Here is a 19,173-nt window from a genome sequence, read left to right on the forward strand (position 1 = left end):
TGTTGAACAACCAAAGCACCTTGCTCTTTGAGACAATGGCATCCACTGAGCCACTCTTGGTGATACAAGGGACCCTGGGTATAAAAAAAGGAAAGCGACTATTATTTTTTCTTCTCCTTCTTTCTTCTTTTGTTTTGTCTTTCAGTTATAGGCCAGGCTTTTATTTATTTATTATTTTATTTATTTATTTAGAAAATGGGGTCTCACTGTGTTGCCCAGGCTGATGTCAAACTCCTGAGCCCAAGCCGTTATTTATGTTTGATTTACAAGTGTATTGGGTTCCTTGGTTGAAGGGTGGCTCTTATTTACATGCCCTTTCTTATCATTGTCTATTGGCTTTCAGGATTGTTGCTCTACTTGCGAAGGGTCTTTAATAGTCTTAGCCACACACAAATTCATCTTTTGGCACGTGTATGTGTGTGTGCACATATGTGTTTTCTTAGGGTCTTATTGAGACATCAGCATTCTCCCCTGTCTTAATAACTACTCCAATCCATAACTTTCTTTCCACTTAAAACCATTACGTTGTAAACAGAATTCTTTATGTGCCACTGTGTGTGGTGGAGTGTATGTGTGTGTGTGTGTGTGTGAGATGCAGGTGGGTACATTCATTCATGTTGCATTATACCCATAATGTATGAAGGTAGTAGGAAAATGGAGTGGTCCAGCTTATTGTCCAATGCCATGTAGTTTTTGGTAAAGAAAGGAGGATCAAACATAGCAGGGTGGCAGCAGCAGGAGCAGCAGTATAACCAGAGTGTTGAGATTTTTTTTTTCTAGGAGGTACTTCTTTTTTTTTTCAATCAACTCATTTGAATAGATTACTTAATTAGCATTTATTGTTTGTAAAATTCCTTGTCTAGAAGTAACATTTTAGGGTCTGCAGTTTTGAAGAAAGACAATTTAATGGGTGATAATTTTGTATAGAATTTTCAAATTGATTTCTTGGTAGTAAATTGTTCCTCAATTGTAGTGCCTTCTCCACACTCATTAGACAGCAAGCCTTCTTTCTAAATGCATTCATAACCATTAAAGTGTTGTCTCTAGTTTCCTGTCATTTGAAACAGGTCATAACTTCAGGCACAAACATTTAAAGGACAACTATACTTTCACAATTTCATTAGTGTTCTAGCGGAGTCGGAATGTGCTATTGAAGTTTATAGAGCTTTGCAGTTCCTGATGGAAACTATTCGGCTCTACTCATCCCAAGAGTAGAGATAATCTTTCTCTTTGTACAGAAAGTTGTTTCACTTCAATTCCACTCTGCCTGAGTTTTATTTATCAGCCTGATCTATGGCTAGAACTATATAGAAGCTCCCTAGAACCTGTTTATAATTCACCTCCCCTCCTCTTTCTCCAAAAACACCCTGGGAATAGAACAAGCTCATTGCCAAGGAAACTCCCTGGCAGTAAAGTACTGTTTGGTCCTATTTTCTACTGGCTTCTTTGACTTGTTGGGAGATGGTGTTTAAATGCATTACTCAAAAGGAGCTCTAGAAAATTTGAAATAAAACAAAAATAAAAATAAACATATTGAAATTCCCTGATATCTGCAGTGGTTTGTATGCTCTTGGCTTTCTGGGAGTATGCAGCTTATGAGCAGAGCTATTTCACACTTTGTTGTGAAATTCAGTGGAGAAAGTGCAGTCTTACCACGCCCTCTGCCTGGACATTTTCTAGCCAAATTAGGTCTACAAAGTGATCTAATTGGTCTAACCCTCTTATTTTTGATCAATGAGGAATTAGATGCTTCGCTATTAGAATAACAACTACAATGTTGATCCCATTTAAGAACTTTTTGTATACTGAGCAAGAAGCTTAGAGGACATTATCTCTTTTAATCCTAAATTCCAGTTGCCAAGATGATAAAGAAAATGAGATTGTGTCCATTTCTACAGATGAAGAAATAGGCTCAGAAAACTCACGTGTCCTGACCCATATCACACAGCAGTTTACTAATAGACTTTGATGGACACCCAAAGATGTTTACTAAAGATGCCCTTTCAAATGAAGCTTTTGACTGAAGAAAAAATATGCATGCTCTGGTCCCTCAGAACGCCTTTTGTATAGATATTATACATCCTGAAGACAACCCTTCAAAGCAAACCTTGGCTCCAACAAAGCTCCTTTCTTCTCTTTGACCTAACTCTCCCCAGTTCCCAAAATTTGTGGATTTTTCAACTTGATGCTCTCCTCATACTATGTTCTAAAACTCAATTCACCTTACCCCATTCTTTCTGATTCTTTCATAACCCATATAGATATTCTCTTCCTAAACCTTTCTTTGGTTAATCTCACTGATTCCTTCATTCAGAAAAGAATACAATACTAAGTGCCTACTCTGAGCCAGGAACTGCTCTTGGGGAATATCCGTGAACCAGACCAACAGGCTCCTGTTTTATGGGGCTTTCAGTTTTGGGTGGAGGGATTGATTATTGGAGAACTCTGAACTTGGATTCAAAAGACCAAGGCTAAATCAGAATGTTAAAACTGGCAGATATGGGAAATGGTTATATCTAATCTGGCCTGCACAGTGTCTTAAAAATTGAATTCATTGGTAGCATTTTAAGATCAAGAGTTTCCACATAGAAAACAACCTGGATTTCTGGCATCTTAGTAGTAACCTGGGCCCACATCCCCATCTAAGGCATCAATCCCTGCAGGAGGAGCAGTTCTGTAGCCTTCTGGTGGGGCAGGGTCTTTTAGCCACCTTTGCCTCAACCATGCCTTCTCATGCCCAGCCAGCTACACTCATGTACATGATCTGTTGACCTCTATAGACACTTTTGCATCCCATGGAGTAAATGATCTACAAAGTCCCTTCACAGACTGACATAACTGTTGTTGTCTGGCTTCCTGTGCATTGCTGTGGCCTCTTCCCACAGGCAGCGCCTGCCCAGAGCTGGCAGCCAGACAAAGAGAATCTGCCTGACCCCAGAGGAGGCTCCATCATTGCAAGGCAAACTCACAGCACAGTCAGTCCCTGGACAGCGACCAGCTGTCTTCACCCCAGAGCCACTTAGAATCAATTCTAGGCCTTGATGTTGAGGCCCCACTACTTGAAAATTTCAAGAGATTTAGCACAAGTGGATAAAACTAACAAAACTAGAAAATCAGAAGTTGTCTCTGGTGGAAGCCAAACAAATCAGAAATGAATAAGGAGAGAACTTTCGGGTAAAAGCAAATAAAGGCTGTGTAATATTTGGAGGAATAATGCTAATTATTACCAGTTTTAAAGTTAGTTTTTGGTACTTTGAAAATCTTTACTCAAAATCATCAGCAAAAGCACCAGTAAGCACTAATATTAATTGCAGGCTTATTGTGTTTGTCTATTTCATTTAACCCACTGCTCCCATTTTGCTGGTGGAAAACTGAAAACCAAAGAGATTAAGTCATTTACCCAAGGTCATGTAACTAATATATTGAATCTCAGATGTTTTAATGATTTTGACTCATTTCCAATTTGCCTGGCTATATAGAGAAAATATTTGAGGAATTGACAGGGAACACACACACACACACACACACACACACACACACACACACACACAGAGGGAGGGAGGGGAGAGAGAGAGACAGAGACAGACAGAGACTGAACAGATTATTTCTCCACTGATGTTCATTATTTAGATCTATTTTCAACATTTAAAGGCAATTGTCAGCATAGTCAATTCAGCCATTTTAAACCATCAAGGGCCAATGAGCAAAGTGTTTTACTGAAGAGTCTACATATGGAAATCAATGATATCCCAAAACTGAGCTGGTACATAAATCTAAGAAATGCAGGTGTGAGATTGATGACTTGGGATTTGATCCCCATAGCAAATCTGATTAAATGGTATACATTGGTTTAGAAAAACAATGTATCAGGGAAAATCCTACTCTTAAGAAACGTTATGCTGAATTCTGTAAGATGATAAAAAACATGTCACACTAGACCAGAAATATTACAAATGTTCTCAGATTCTCCCTTTCTCATTTTCTCATGTTTAGATTAGAAGTATGGGAACTCAGAGGGCTGAATAGAGGATTGCCAGGCAGTTAATGAGAATTCAAACTAGATTTGAGGTCTTCCTGATTCCCGGGATTTACTCTACCGGGCAGAAGCAGAAGCTGCTTAAATTCTGAAAATAGAGTCTTTTAAGAGTGTGGGATTCATACGGAACCTCTTCTAAACAAGTTACCTCTGAAATGTGGGACAAAATAATTCTAGGTGTGTTTGTCCAACAGGAGCCTGTGACTTGGGATTTGTGTCTGCACATGCATGGATCTAAGGAACCAGCCACTTTGACAGGTGGCCTTTCATCAGGCTCATCAATGTCTTAGTCAATTTCTGGCCCTCCTATCACCCCTGTTCTGGAGCTGAAGAAACCTTGCCATGGGGACAAATGCACTTAGAGAGTGAGAGCAGCATAGCAAAGTGATGAAGGGGATGGACGCTAGAATTGGAACCATGGCTCTGCCACTGACTAGCTATTGGGCAACCTTCCTGTGCCTCCCTTATTTATAAAGTGGAGACAATGATAGTACCTCCTTCATAGGATGAAACAAGTTAATATATTTAAAGTGCTTAGAAGAGTACCTGGCACATAGTAGGTATTAGGTTAGGGATTGGTAACTTTTCAAAATATGAGAGACTTTTTAATAACAACAGCCAGTATTTTGGTCCATTTTATGTGCCAGGCACCAGTACAAGAATTTGGCATATATAAGTCATTTGATTTTCAGAATATACAAGGTAATATTATTACCTTTATTTTCAGTTGAGAAAACTGGAGTGTAGAAATGTTAGTAATATGCCCAAGTCACATAGCTAGTAAGTAATGGGGCCTAGATTTGAAAGCAAGCAACAGTCTCTGGAACCCATAATTTTAGCCACTATGCTGTAAAGAAATGCAAATAGCCATCGTCATTACTCTTCCAAATCCAGGACTGAATTCGTTCATTGCAAATATGGTGGATCTCAGAGAGCCTGAGGCAGAAAATGGGCACCTATATGCCTCTCTTACTACTCACAGCTTAAAGTCAGTGGAGTTGACGTATGATCAAGCCACCAAATCTCAGCATTTCTTTGGACAAAAGACAACCTTTTTTAGTGAAGGAAAATTCACAGCAACCAATCTGGGTAGGGATTCCAGGTGATTCTTGCCACCTCATTCTCAGTCATTCTCACTAGGGTTGATTCCACAACCACATTATAAACTCCTAGTAGACCAGGCCAATATAATTGCTCATCTCCCATGACACCCAAGTGTCAATAAATACCAATGAATGAATTGACTCCATTTGTTTGTTTTGCACCCTGACACCAGTAGCCCTCATTGCTTAGAGATTTTTTTCCAGTAGTAAAAATAGGGATTCTAGAGTTTCCTTTGGTGCAAAGTTTGAGCTCTAGTGCTTTTTAATTACTGTGACTATCAGTGGAGCAGATTATTTTTTGATAATGAAATCATCATAGCTGAGGCTCTGTGGAAGACCTTTGACTTCCCATCAAGAGAAGTGTAGGATAAAATGAAAATTGAATGTTGTTTGTTGATGATTTTCTAATCGATTGCTTGCTGTTTTTTGGTGATTGCGAAACACTAGAAAGTCCCAAAGGAATCAGACATGCATAGAAAGAGAAATGAAGGGGAGAACATGTCCCTAGGGTAGGTCCACAGGGAAGATAATTGAAGATGACAGAAGACATAATGTCACACTCAGAAAGGGATTTTTTCTGGCCCTACCACACAGAAAATGATGACCTTGCAGTGGAGAGATAAGACTGGTAATTAAGGAGGAGTTATTGTGCTAAAGCTGGTCTTCCCTTTCCACTGGTATTTCATTCTGGAAACTGAAATGGGACATTAAATAAAGAATGGTGTCTCATTTCAGGGCAGAGGGACTTACAAACTATCAAAACCAGGACTGAAAGGAGCCCTGAGCTAATGTGTGTTCTCGTTACAGAATTCTGCCTTTCAGCAAGGAAAGGTATTTAGCTGGGATCTGAGGATTAGCATAAACTTCTGATATTCTACCCTTCCTATTTTGGGGGAAAAAGTCAAACCTTAGTAGAATTTGAAAGCTTAAAAATATCCTGTTCAATTTGCTTTGGATGGCATTTGTTACTATTAAAATTTTAAAAATACAGAAACCACATATGATCCTTGTCTTGGGAGACTGCACATCCTGTTTTGTCTAGGACAGTCCCAGTTTATATTTGCGATACTGGTATAATTATTACTATCTCTCAAAATGTTGTGGTTTGAGTAATAAATTATACTCTGCCTATATATAACCCAGCGATTCTTCTGCTCAGTATCTAACCTAGAAAATTACTCACACACATGTACAAGGAGGTTACTGTAGCACTGTTTATAAATCACAACATAGGAAACCACATGCATGCACACTAGAAGAATGGCCAAATGAACTACAGAATATTCATGCTGAGAGCATCATCTCACAGTTAAAAGACTGAGATGGATCCATATGTGGTGAAATAGACAAATCTTCTAGACATGTCCTGAGGGGAAATAAATAATCTTTAGAATATTGTCCAATATGATACTGTTTAGGTTACTTTAAAAATGCAAACTAGACCAGGTGCAGTGGCTCATGCCTGTAATCCCAGCACTTTGGGAGGCCGAGGCGAGAGGATCACCTGAGTTCAGGGGTTTGAGACCAGCCTGACCAGCATGGTGAAACCCCGTCTCTACTAAAAATACAAAAATTAACCAGGCGTGGTGGCAGGTACCAGTAATCCCAGCTACTCGGGAGGCTGAGGCAGGAGGATTGCTTGAATCTGGGAGGCAGTTGCAGTGAGCCAAGATCATACCACTGCATTCCAGCCCGGACGACAGAGCAAGACTTTGTCTCAAAAAAATACAAACTAATTTAAAAGATATTTTAGGGGCCAGATATATGAGTATGTAAGATGAAAAATGGAAAGACATTTATAAACCAGTAACAAGGGTTATGTTGGATAGAAGTGATGGGTTTGGATTCAATATGGTGGTCAAGGGTGACTTTAACCATAATATTTCAGCCTTTTCCTAAGGACACTATGATCTTTGATTGCTTGTGGAATTGATCATTTATTTTAAATGTAATTTAAAACTTAAAACTATGTTCCAGAGGTGATGTTGCTCAGTTCATTGTTTTGAATTGAAGTAACTGAGGCCTTGAGAAGCTGCATAAGTTTTCCAGGGTCACACCATCGATATGGGGCAGAGGTGGGGCCCAAATGAGTCTCCTGACACCCAGTTTCTTTCTCACTGTCTGGACAATGCTCTCCTTGAAGGTTTATGAAGATTTACTGCGTTGCCTTCCCTCCATAGATGGAAATAAATGGCTGGACACAAACTAATTCACACTCATCAAATTTTACTCCCCTTAAATCCCCAACTAAAAAGTAATGGCCAGTATCATTAATTGACCCCAGGCTGGCAGCCACCTGATTTATTCTCTGAAGTCTACCATCTGGTTTTGTTTTGACCTTAATTCTCCAGCATGCATTTCTTTGATGTGGACATTAAACTGATCATTAATGGTTTGAAGAAGTGGTAAGTGTATGGTGAGAAGGGTTTCCCTGGCGTATTTTTGTGACAGTTATCGTGGGGTCTTTTGCTTTGGTTTGTGTCATTGCCTTTCCTTTGGTAAGCAGTGCACTCATGGCCTTTCCCCTGGCGATTCTCTGAGTCCCCGCGAAACCTGCTAATGTGGGGGCAACTGGAAGCAGCTAAACCCTTATTCTTCCCTGGAGTATTTGCATATTAATAGAGATCAGGACCTGAAGTTAAATTTGATGATGCTTTAAAGGTGGAAACTTAGACATTAACCAGCAGATTAGTATTAGTGGAAAGGATTTTACTGTACTTATTTTTGCCTTTCTTATTTTTCTGAAATTATGCCAAGTAACTACACTTTGTGTTAATGAACACATACTTTAGTGATACATGTTGTCCGTGTTGTTGAATATAGAACCCAGCACTTTACGTGAATTATGTCATTTAATCCACAACACAACTTTGTGAGATAATGATTTTATCTCCGGTGAATAGTTAAAGAAACACCAAGAGATTGGCTTTTTGAGATTTAGCGTCTCAGGGAGGGTAACACCGTAGAAGATAGAGCTAGGTTCAAACCCAGGCAGTCCATCTTCAGAGACTCAGCTCCTCACCACCATGCCATATTGCTGGCACCATAATAATGATTATGCAGTTATTATGATGTTCAAAACATAATTAAACACAATAAAATATAATATTATGTAAGATGTAATTATATGCAATTAGAAGTGTGGATACTCATTTGCATACTTTGATTTCAGAAACACCAAGGGGAAGAAAACAAAATACTTTCTGAGAGTTGTTGATAGTATTCCAGAAAGTAGGTGGATTTGGCAAAGTTTGTAAGGTGGTTTTTTTCCCTTCCTTTTTGGCTCAACAGTTTGTTGGCTGGCACTCATACTTGGGAGATAAATGCAAACCGAGATCTCACCATTCACACCACTCCCAGAGGTCACACATCACTTATTGAATAACTGATGGGTTTGGAAAGAGGGCATGGCTGTAACTCAGCTCAAGAATTCCACTGATGTCATAAAAGGTGATAGCTCAGCCCCAGTGGCAGGTGATGGACAGTGTAGCCATAGAGAGCACATCAGCTCTGTGCTCATTCCCGTCTCCCGTCTCTGCAGATTTAATTTATAGCTGGAACTTGGCCCTTCCTTTGGGCTTACAGGAAAGCCTAAGAGCTGAATGGCTGAGCTTATCATGATCTATGTGGATGGCTCTTCTTGTCTTTCTGACCTCCACCCTAGGACACCTGTATCTCCTCCAAGCCCAGTAGTGGGCAGTTGTTTTCCTAGAGATCAGCAGCTCTTATTGTCAAAAAATATAGTTAAACAGTTTATTAGATGAACTGAGATTCATATTGTTAGGTCTTCCCTCAGTCCACGGGGGCACTTTCCTAATTACCTTTGCAAGAATATGTTTTATTCCTCAGTTATTTTCCAATTCCTTCTGGAAATTCTTTTAAAGAGTCTCAATCCCAGTGTTTTGCTTCCATAAGGGAAAAGCACGTAGGGTGATGGTCAGTAGGAATGAATGCAATGTTAGCCTGGAAAAGTGTCTGGATGGATAGGGAAAGTACTCAGAAAATTGTGTTTGTGTTTGTGACTTGAACTAAGTCCGTATTCCTCCTGATGTAAGATTTTGGATTAGAATATTCAAGATCATCACTTCCTAATATTATATAGGAAATCTCATAATCTATATAGGAATAGGAAATCTGTATAATCTTTATTTGTATTTACTATGTTATTGTTCTTTCTCAGCATAGGGGTCTTCCAGAAAAATCGATGAGTCTAGATTTTTGAGGACTGCTGTGATATTCTTTTAAAGATGAAGACTGTAATCAAGCCAAATTTTCCCAAACACATTCCATGGAACACTAAGCACGTGGATCAACAGTTTTGTAGTCAAATATTTGGAAAATGTTGCCTCTTTCCTCCTCTTCGTAGGAATTTGCTGTGGCTCTAAGCATTCCTGCATCCAGTAAAGATGTCTGTTTAACTTTGTTTAACCCAGTGTTTTCCAGTTTCACCTCATCAAAGAGCCCTTACAGAGCTGTGGAGAGGAGCACTTGGGAGAAGCCAGTTTTGGAGATGGGATTGCATCCCAGGAGTACATTGAAATGATTGCTTTCTTGAGGATTAGGGCCCACTGATAAGAACAGGCTGTAAGCAGTGTTGTGACAGTCTTCTCCCAGAGCTCTTAATCGAACTTTTAAGTTTCTCAATTGAATAGTGCACAAATACAATATTTTACCCTTTTACTGAAGGAACATAGTAAATAATACTGTGATAGCCCCTTGACAGTAGAAAGATGATCTTTTAAAAAAATGCTCCAGAGAGGTTGGAGGAGAGAATTACTTTTATCTGTGTCTATCAGAATCCCATGTACATCCTGGTCCTGGGCAAATATTATTTTAAGAGCTTTTCCATGACTCAAATACCTTCTTTCTATTCTGCTCATTTCCTTTTCTTTTTAGCCTTAATGCCATTCCACATTTGAGAGAGAACGTTAACATAAACTGCAGTAATGTCAGTCATCAATATTTGCATAGCTAGGGTGCAGCTTTTGGAAGAAGCTCTCCAGAAAAAATTACAGTACAGTGTGCACATTGCCTAAAGGTATTTATTGCTTCCAAAGAATGAATTATCTCATCTTATGGAGGAAAAGATGAAGGCTCAGAGAAGATGAGCCCTAATTTATGCAGAACCCCTGATAATATTCATCTGGAATACCAAGAAATAATGTTAATACATAAAAATAATGTAATGTAAATCATGTTATGCACTGCAGCAGTTAGCTGGAAGATCTGGAACTGATTCACCTGGTCAGTTTAGAGCTTTCTGAACTCCCTTGGTATTGTATCCAGACTGGGCTTGATACATTTAATTATCTAAGTAAAGTAGATCTTGGCCATCACCTTTGAATAATACCAACAATGAGAAAAATAACCGTTAATGGTTGAGGATTTGCAGTTTAGAGAATATCACCTACATTATCTTTCTAAGCTGGTGGAGTTACCTCATTTAACAGATTTATAGTGCTCAGAGAGGTTAAGTGATTTGTATATGGTCACACAGCTTAATGTATACTTGAGCTGGAGCCAGATCCTAACCCCTTGTATCTCCCTTAAATTGTGCTGTCTCATTCCACAGAGCTCCTCAGGCAAAGCTGTTTGATTGGATATAACCTACATTGTTTGAGTATCTGATACATTCTGGGTGGTTTTCCAAGGGGAATTCTTTGAAAGGGAGCTTGAAATTTGTATGTTGAAGTTAGATAACCTCTTTATTTAACAAACACCTGTACAGTACAGTGTTTATTGTCATTACAGGCAAGCTTCTAAGCACTTTGTAAATATCGAATTGTGAATTTCTCTTATCGGTCCCACAGACAGATATAATTTTACCGTATTTCACAGATGTGGAAACTAATATCAGAGGCTAAATAATTCCCTGGGGGACACAGAGCCACCACCTCATGGAACCAGGATTGTGCCTAGGCTCTCAGGCTCCAAGGCCTATGCTCCTCACCTCTGTGCTGGGTTCCTTCTCCTTCTAAATTCTCTGTTTACACAAGCATGGGACTGGGTAGAAAAACTGGATGGAGGGTGATTCAGATTGAGATGTTTTCTTGGTGTAAACATGAGATGTCTGGGTGGTAAGCTTATATGAATGGTTTTTACTTTTTTCTTTGTACTTTCATATATTTCCTAAATTTCCTACAATATTTATGTGTTACTTTCCTAATAATGAAGGGGCATACGCAGAAAACACATTGGCTCTAGTATAGGATTTCAGCCTTTATAGATGTTGATGCTGACTTATTAGCAACCTATTTGTTAGCAGCACATGCGTGCGTGTGCATGCACGTGGGCACACACACACACACACACACACACACACTCTTTGCAGGGGAATTTTGAGCCAGAAATTTATCTGTAGGCCCATATTCATTCCTTTTTGCACATTTCTATTGTGACCTTGGGCACGTCTCTATCCCTCTTTGAGCCACTGTTTTCTCATCTGATAAAAGAAGGATAATATTGCTTCAAAGAAGGTTAATAGGACTAAGTAAGGCACTGAATATGCATGTATTTTATAAGTTTTAAAGTGCCTTAAAAATGTGAGTAACTGTGTTTAGGTAAAAACATATATGGCATGTTTCTTAAAGTTTCTCTTCTCTGTTATTTGCATAGATGTTATGCAACTTGTGTTGTAGATAGTTTGCCAAGGAGAATTTTATCCTGCAGGCCTCAGCCAGTCAGTATATGAGCTAAGATGGAAGTTTTGTGGGATAAGCAATCTGCTGCTCCCTTGGAGAATTCTCTAAATTTGCAAGTAGAAACATTGCGGTTGGCAAAATGGAGCTGGATTAATAACGTTTATCATTCAGGTGGAGGCTTTGTGTTTGCAAAGGGCCTGGTAATTGGTAATTAGCTGATGCCCCTTGTCTCCTCCTGCCACCCTCTTCCTCCCTGCCCTGCTGTGCCCCCTGGAATCCAGAGGCAGAGGCACCTGCATGCTCCCAGTCTGCTTCTCCCTGCACAGTGCCTGGAAAGTCCCAGGGGACCACAGCCATCTGACAAGTTGGTACTGGGTTGAGTTACACCAGCCACACACACTAGCTCTGGCCCTGAGCTGGGAGTAAATGAGGTCAGGCCAAGAGACATCAAGCTTCAAACATATATTTTCAAAATAAATAGGAAGTCTCTGTCCTCATACTCTTTCCCTGTCACCTTTGCTCCCTAAAAGTCTAACCTCTTTTTAGTCAGTTTCCTGGTATCCAAAGGCCCATTTTACTTCCTCCAACCATCCTGTCAGCAAATCACATTTCCCTGTTGTGTTTTCTCCAGTAGAAAGGACTTTTCTCATTTATTTGTTCCTGAGAAGAATTAGGAATCTGAGAATCTTGATGATCTTTTGGCTGCTTCTTGGGTAGCAATTTAGACTCTCACTGAACACCCATCTCATCTCTTCAGAGCTATTCAATCATGCTGAAGTTCATTTGAACAAACTAAGACTTCCTATTAGCAACCCCATCCTGCTTAAAAAATGGAGATTCCCCTCTGCCATTAAAGCAGATCTGAGAGGCTTTTTTTGAAGGAGGGCTGAAAGTTGAATAATTAACAGGACATTTCTTTTCCAACCCTTCTTTTCTTTTCTTTTTTCATCAATCTGAAGTATCCTGGGACGCTCTTTGGCCTGGCACATGGGTAGGTAGGCATATTGTCAAAGATTGAGCTGCAGTTTTTCAATTTGTGACTTCCCTGATAACTACTTCCTCTAGAAGTCCCCAGAAATGAAAATGGGAGTGTGTGTCCAGGCACAATTGCTTCTCCCAGTCTTCCTGGGGATGTTCCAATCTTGTCAACCAGTTTTCAGTTTTGTTTCAGAGTATTGACTCAAGTAATTAAATCATCAATAATATTAGACTTCCCTTTTTCCTTTTTAATTTTTCTTTCTCTATTATTCTTTTTCTTCACTATCCACCCCAACCCCCCATTCATCTGTTCTTTTTATGGAAGGCCAAAAAGTGTAATACATGGTAAAGAGGGGAAAGGGGACTCTGTAGTAGGGAGCTGAGGACTAGTTCAGTCAGGCAGCCCTAGCTTAGCTTCAGTTTCCTTATCTGTAAAGTGGAGAAGTCAAACCTGCCTTGAGGGCAGGTGACTGAAACCCTGCAGGTAAGACCCTAGGACAGATGGGTCCTGGTAAGAGCATCGTCTTGTTGAGAGGCTGAGGTGGGCAGATCACAAGGTCAGGCGTTAAAGACCAGCCTGGCCAACATGGTGAAACCCCATCTTTACTAAAATTACAAAAATTAACTGAGCGTGGTGTTGTGCACCTGTAATCCCAGCTACTTGGGAGGCTGAGGCAGAAGAATCGCTTGAACCCAGGAGGTGGAGATTGCAATGAGCTAAGATCAGGCCACTGAACTCCAGCCTGGGCGACAGAGCAAGACTCTGTCTTAAAAAAAAAAAAAAAAAAAAAAAAAAGCATTGTCCTGGGGTGTAATCCCAGCAGCTCTGCCATTGATTGGTTGTGTGACCTGTGGGACTTCTGTAGTTCAGTTTCTTCATCTGTAGAACGGAGTGACAATAGCACCTGTCATATAGGGTTGTGTGTTGGGAGCATTAAAAGAGATCATGTAAAGTGCTTTCCAGGATGCCAGACCAATAATGGTGAGTCCTTCATACATATTATCTATTGCTGCTATTATCACTGTTTCTGGAATTTAACAATTTCTGGTTCCCTGGGGAGAAGATGTTCCCTGGCAGCTGGGCCTGTTTTAGGTCTTGTGTTTCCCGCAGAGACTCTAGGGAAATTCTTAAAGGGGCTTTGTGAGTATCATCTCTGAGCATAACTGTGTGCCCAGGAGCTCGCAACACACCCCTCATTCCATGGCAGGATGTCGTCAGCTCTGGTTAGTCTCTGAGTCCATTGCTTAGAGCTGAGCTTAGAAAAGAGAATTTCTCTCTTAGAGACAAGTGGGATGCTGTGGGAAAACATAGATCTGGGAAGCCAGTCAGGCCAAAGGGATCCAGGAGTAGGAGTTCCTATAGTCGGCATGGATGTGGATAGGTAGACGCAGGCCCAGTGCCTGACTTGGGGACCACGGGGAAGCCACTCACCTGATTGTCTCTCACCTGCCACCTGCAGACCCTGCTCCTTACTTGCTGTTTGGGAAATATTGTCGCTTTGCATAGGATGGCACTGTTCTTACTTTTGATGAATGTCTGAAAAATGAACTTCTTATCCTCTACCTTTTTCAACTGCCATATACATGCTGGCATTACTGTTAACAAATAGGCCCTTTTCCCTGATCACATGAGCCTCGGATTATGGTCTGCATTGATCTTCTGTGAGCTCAGGTGGCCATGTTCAAAGAAAGCTTTGTGAACATGATGACTGAGAAAGATGAATCTGGGTGCCGCATGAGGCTGGAAGGTGGGGGCAGTGATGTGGCACATCAGCTCACTCAGGCAGGACAGAATAGGGTTTAAGCAAAGAATGCATTAGAATGCATTATGCCATACGTCACCCACTTACCATGGCATAGGACTAGAGGGGGCCTCAAAGATTATTTAAAGAAAAACAAACCAATGCCTTTAAGGCTTGTGACTCTGTAACTAGAGGTGAAGTTTGGCTGGATGCATTCATTTAGCAACTAGTTACTTATTGAGCTTTTACTGCATCTCAGGCACTGCAGTGGAAACACAGGATGAACTAGACAATGTCCCTCCCTCTAGGTCTTCTAAAAAAAAGACCAGTACATGAAAAATAATTGTAAATTATGATACAAAACAAGGAGCAGAATAGGGAAGAACTAAAGCTTGGGGCAGAAATGAGGCTGGCTACTTTAGGTGGGATGGCCAAGGATAACATCTCTCTGACATTTGTGTTAAGAATTAAAGCCATATAAAGTGCTTCCCAGGGTGCCAGACCAATATGGTATATTCTTCATAAATATGCTACATGAAGAGTGGGAAGAGCAAAAGAGCAGAAGAGCATTCCAGCTGGAGGAGCAAACATTTGCAAAAGTTCAAGATGGGAAGATCTCGGCCCTTTCCAGGACTTGAAAAAAGGCCCCTGGCTGGAGAGTCATGAGAGAAGGGAAGCAGCTTCAGATGAATTCGGAGAGGTAGAAGCAGCCAGATCCTCTAGAGCCTTGTAGGCCACAGTAAGGGGGTTGAGTTGTAATGCAAGGCAGAGTTCTCAAGCTCTATCATGAATCAGAATCACCTGGAGATTCAATAGAGATTGCTGGACCCCATCCCTAGAGATGGGGACCTTCTAATAAGTTTGCATGTGGTGCCGATGCTACTGGGCCAGAGACCAGACTTTGAGAACCACTGCTGTAAGGCAGTGAGAACCCTAACAGAAGGATGTTTCATATAATTAATTTGCAGGACTTAGTAACTGATGGAGTGTAGGGTTAAAGAGGGAAAAGAATCAAAGATAATTCTAAAGGTACAGTCCTGTGTGATCAGGAGGTAAAACATATAGGAAAAATTCTTGTTTTTTGAGACGGAGTCTCGCTCTGTCGCCCAGGCTGGAGTGCAGTGGCACAATCTTGGCTCACTGCAAGCTCCGCTTCCCGAGTTCATGCCATTCTCCTGCCTCAGCCTCCCGAGTAGCTGGGACTACAGGCGCCCGCCACCACGCCTGGCTAATTTTTTGTATTTTTAGTAGAGATGGGGTTTCACTGTGTTAGCCAGGATGGTCTCAATCTCCTGACCTCATGATCCACCCGTCTCGGCCTCCCAAAGTGCTGGGATTACAGGCATGAGACACTGCTCCCGGCCCGAAAAATTCTTTATTCAGGGCTGGATGATGAGATGGTATAACCAGCAGGAATCTTCCTTGGGTTTCAGTAGGTGTGGGAATTAACTCACAGATCCATGTGTGTGTATGCATTTTTTCTTAAACAGGTGGTAGAGAGGGTACAAATATCAGGGAGAAAGTCCACAGAAGCAGGATAAGATACTGTCAACCTGGGGTTCCTTCAGGCCTTCCCAGCCAAACCCTTCCCCCTGCAACTCAGGATCAGCCACCTCATTGACTTGCCCCACCCAAGGCCAAACCAATATTGACAGCAGCCTCAATGCACCAGCAGGAGGGGTCTACAGTTATTGCTGCCACAGGTCTTACACCAGATGGCCCTCGGTGGGCCAGCCTGTTCTTGCCCAGTCTGTTCTTGCCCTGTTCTGACCAGTGGCAGTGCTGCCTTACCAGGGATGCCCTATCTCCACCTGAATGAACCAGGTCTGGGTTTGCACTGCTCTGCCCCAGAATGCCCCGCTGTTTTCACGTAGTCAGGCAGGTTCCCCAGCCTTAGTTCTACCAGAGCCAGCCTCCTCGCTTCCCCATGCATCAGTGCTGCTGAGAGTGAATCCAAGTTACGGGAGTAACCTTGCTGAGCAGGAGGCCAAAACCAGTGAGTGACATGAAGCATCGTCCATCCAAAAGAGAGGCCAAGAAAGCATGGAAAGGACAGTGTCATGGAGGCCTAGCAGGAGACAAACTTTTAAAAGAGGCAGAGAGATCTAAATACATCCAAACTGTTGAAGCGTAAAGCATTAGAAAAAAATATGATTTCTCAACAAGTTATGACACCTTCATAGAGAACAGTTATACAGGAATGAGTGGGTGGAAGAAAATAGCAACCACAGCCCAATAATGCAGATCTAATGTTATTAGGTTAAATACTACACAAGTAATTACTCAGTGATGAAAATTATTAATTGTGCACATGATGCTCACTCTATGCCCTGGGTGTTTCTGTTCCTGCTTGAATAGTGGAATAATTAGCAGATAACTGCGCTATTAATTATGCCAAAGCTTGCTTTGAGATAGACTAAAAGGCCAAACATGTAGGATGAGGAGGAGCTATGTGTTCTGTTCATCTTTGTGCCCTGAGAAGAGCAGATGGAAAGCTTGAGGTCAACCTGGGCCCACAGCTGGCCAGGTAGACTGAAGTTCTGTCATGCCCTGCCTTGAAAGGGAACCAGAGTGCCTATGCAGGAAGCCCACGCACATAGCACTTAGGCATAGCAGGGGGTTAAAGGTGTTTTCAAGTTCAAGTCATGACACATTTATAAGCCAAAGCCCCAAGGGCCAGTATTTTCCAATCTCTTCCTCCACCATCCTTGGCCATATGGTAAACATTTCTCTTTCCTTTCCCCATTGACACCAACAAGTTCATCTCACATGGGTAAGACTCAGACAAATCCCATAGCTTTTTACACGTAGATTTTCCACAAAGCGAATCCCGGCAAACGATATACAGAACTCCTAGCTTATCTTGCCATGGGATGAGATAAGATGGTAAGAAGTCATCCTGTGGCCAGGTGTGGTGGCTTATGCCTGTCATCCCAGCACTTTGGAAGGCTGAGGGGGGAGGATTGCTTGAGCCCAGTAGTTTGAAAACAGCCTGGGCAACATGATGAAACCTTGTCTCTAACAACAACAACAACAACAAAATTAGCTGAGTGTGGTGGCACATGCCTGTAGTCCCTGCTACTCGGAGGCTGAGGCAGGAGAATCACTCAAGCCTGGGATATGGAGGTCACAGTGAGCCAAGAGGGGATCACTGCACTCCAGCCTGGGCAACAGAGTGAGACCCTGTCTCAAAAAAAAAAAAAAAAAAAAAGAGAGAGAGAGAAAGAAGCTATCCTGCTGGAGTCTGAAAGCTTGACCTAGCACTTTCCTATAGACCCTTATATGAGGATAGAAATCTTGTTTTGTGCTCCTTGTTTTGTGCTCCAATATGGTAGCCACTAGCCACACATGCCTGTTAAACATATGCATATTAAACATATTAAACATTGAAATAGGGCTAATGTGACTGAAGAATAGAACTTTATTTGTTTATTTATTTATTTATTTTGTTTATTTTTGAGACAGAATCTTGCTCTGTCACCAGGCTGGAGTGCAGTGGCACGATCTCAGCTCACTGCAATCTCTGCCTCCTGGGTTCCGGTGATTCCCCTGCCTCAGCCTCCCGAGTAGCTGGGACTACAGGTGCATTCCACCATGCCCAGCTAATTTTTTGCATTTTAGTAGAGATGGGGGTTTCACCATGTTGGCTAGGATGGTCTCAATCTCCTGACCTTGTGATCCGCCTGCCTCGGCCTCCCAAAGTGCTGGGATTACAGGCTTGAGCCACCGCACCTGGCCTAATTTAAATTTAAATAACCACATATGGGTGATGGTTAAAGCAGGACTTCAGAAGACACTCTGGCTTTAGTTCTCCTTATGCACTCACGACTGGGGTTGTCTGGGCTCGAGGGACCTCAGAGCCTCTTAGGGTAATGTGTGTCCTCTGGGATGACATTTCTTGGACAATTTCCCTTCTCCTCTGAAATGTGAGCTTCATTCATGGTAAATGAGTAAAAATCTGCCTGGAATTACTTACAAGGGTGAAGAATGAACATATTAACAGGCTATAGATAATAAGAAAGTCCTTTAAAAATGAATGTGGTGGCTGCCAAATCAATTTGTGCAAAATAACGGTAGACAAGGATGAGCTGCGGCTGACAGGGAGCAATTAAGTTTTGTAATTTTACCTTGAATTATTAATTTCAAGAAGGGTTGCTTCTCTCACTGCAGTCTACATCTTCGCCCTTTGAGAGTCGGGTGGAAGGCACTGTGGGTGAGCCTCCATTTCCAGGTTGTTGAGAAACCATCTCTCTTGGTTTCTTTTCTTATGCTTTCAGCTCTTCATTGGGGGTTGCACTTCATTTTCTTCTCACATTCACAACAAATTAGCCATACACATAAATACAATAAAGGATACCTGTCCCAAGGAAAAGCATCCTCATCACATGTCATGGGCCAGTCCCTTTTACAAGGTGCTCCTGCACAGCCATGGCAGGTACTCATGTGTGTGCCAGACAGAGGGGAGTTTCTAAGCTAGGAAAAGTGGATTTGTGGGAAGTTGTTTTCCTCCAGGTAAAGATAAAGTGGCTTTGCTTGACTGGTTGACTCATTGGCCAAACTAATGATGCTACTAACACCCTTGATCTTAGGATTAAGCATTGTCTGGGATATTTTGAGTCATGAAAGTTACCTTCCTACAGAGCCCAGCTCTAGGAAACCATCTTACAAATACA

At 41.5% G+C, this 19,173-nt stretch overlaps 2 protein-coding genes across 9 annotated transcripts in view; one reads left to right on the plus strand and one right to left on the minus strand.

The window, feature by feature from the left end:
• DOCK2 (dedicator of cytokinesis 2) overlaps window positions 1-19,173 on the plus strand; it is a 446,108-nt gene that overhangs the window by 274,777 nt on the left and 152,158 nt on the right. The window contains exon 28 of one of the 5 annotated variants that reach the window (XM_011534451.3): window positions 9,320-17,706. The exons of the other annotated variants lie outside the window; for them this stretch is intronic. Coding sequence (XP_011532753.1) covers window positions 9,320-9,361 — 42 coding nt within the window. The 3' untranslated portion in view covers window positions 9,362-17,706. Of the gene's footprint in view, window positions 1-9,319; window positions 17,707-19,173 lie in introns of those variants that run through there. 5 annotated transcript variants of the gene reach the window in all.
• The window catches only part of INSYN2B (inhibitory synaptic factor family member 2B), a 119,193-nt gene that overhangs the window by 50,749 nt on the left and 49,271 nt on the right, over window positions 1-19,173 (minus strand). The gene's annotated exons all lie outside the window — the stretch shown is intronic.

The sequence above is a fragment of the Homo sapiens genome, chromosome 5, assembly GCF_000001405.40.
Source record: "Homo sapiens chromosome 5, GRCh38.p14 Primary Assembly".
NCBI lineage: Eukaryota > Metazoa > Chordata > Mammalia > Primates > Hominidae > Homo > Homo sapiens.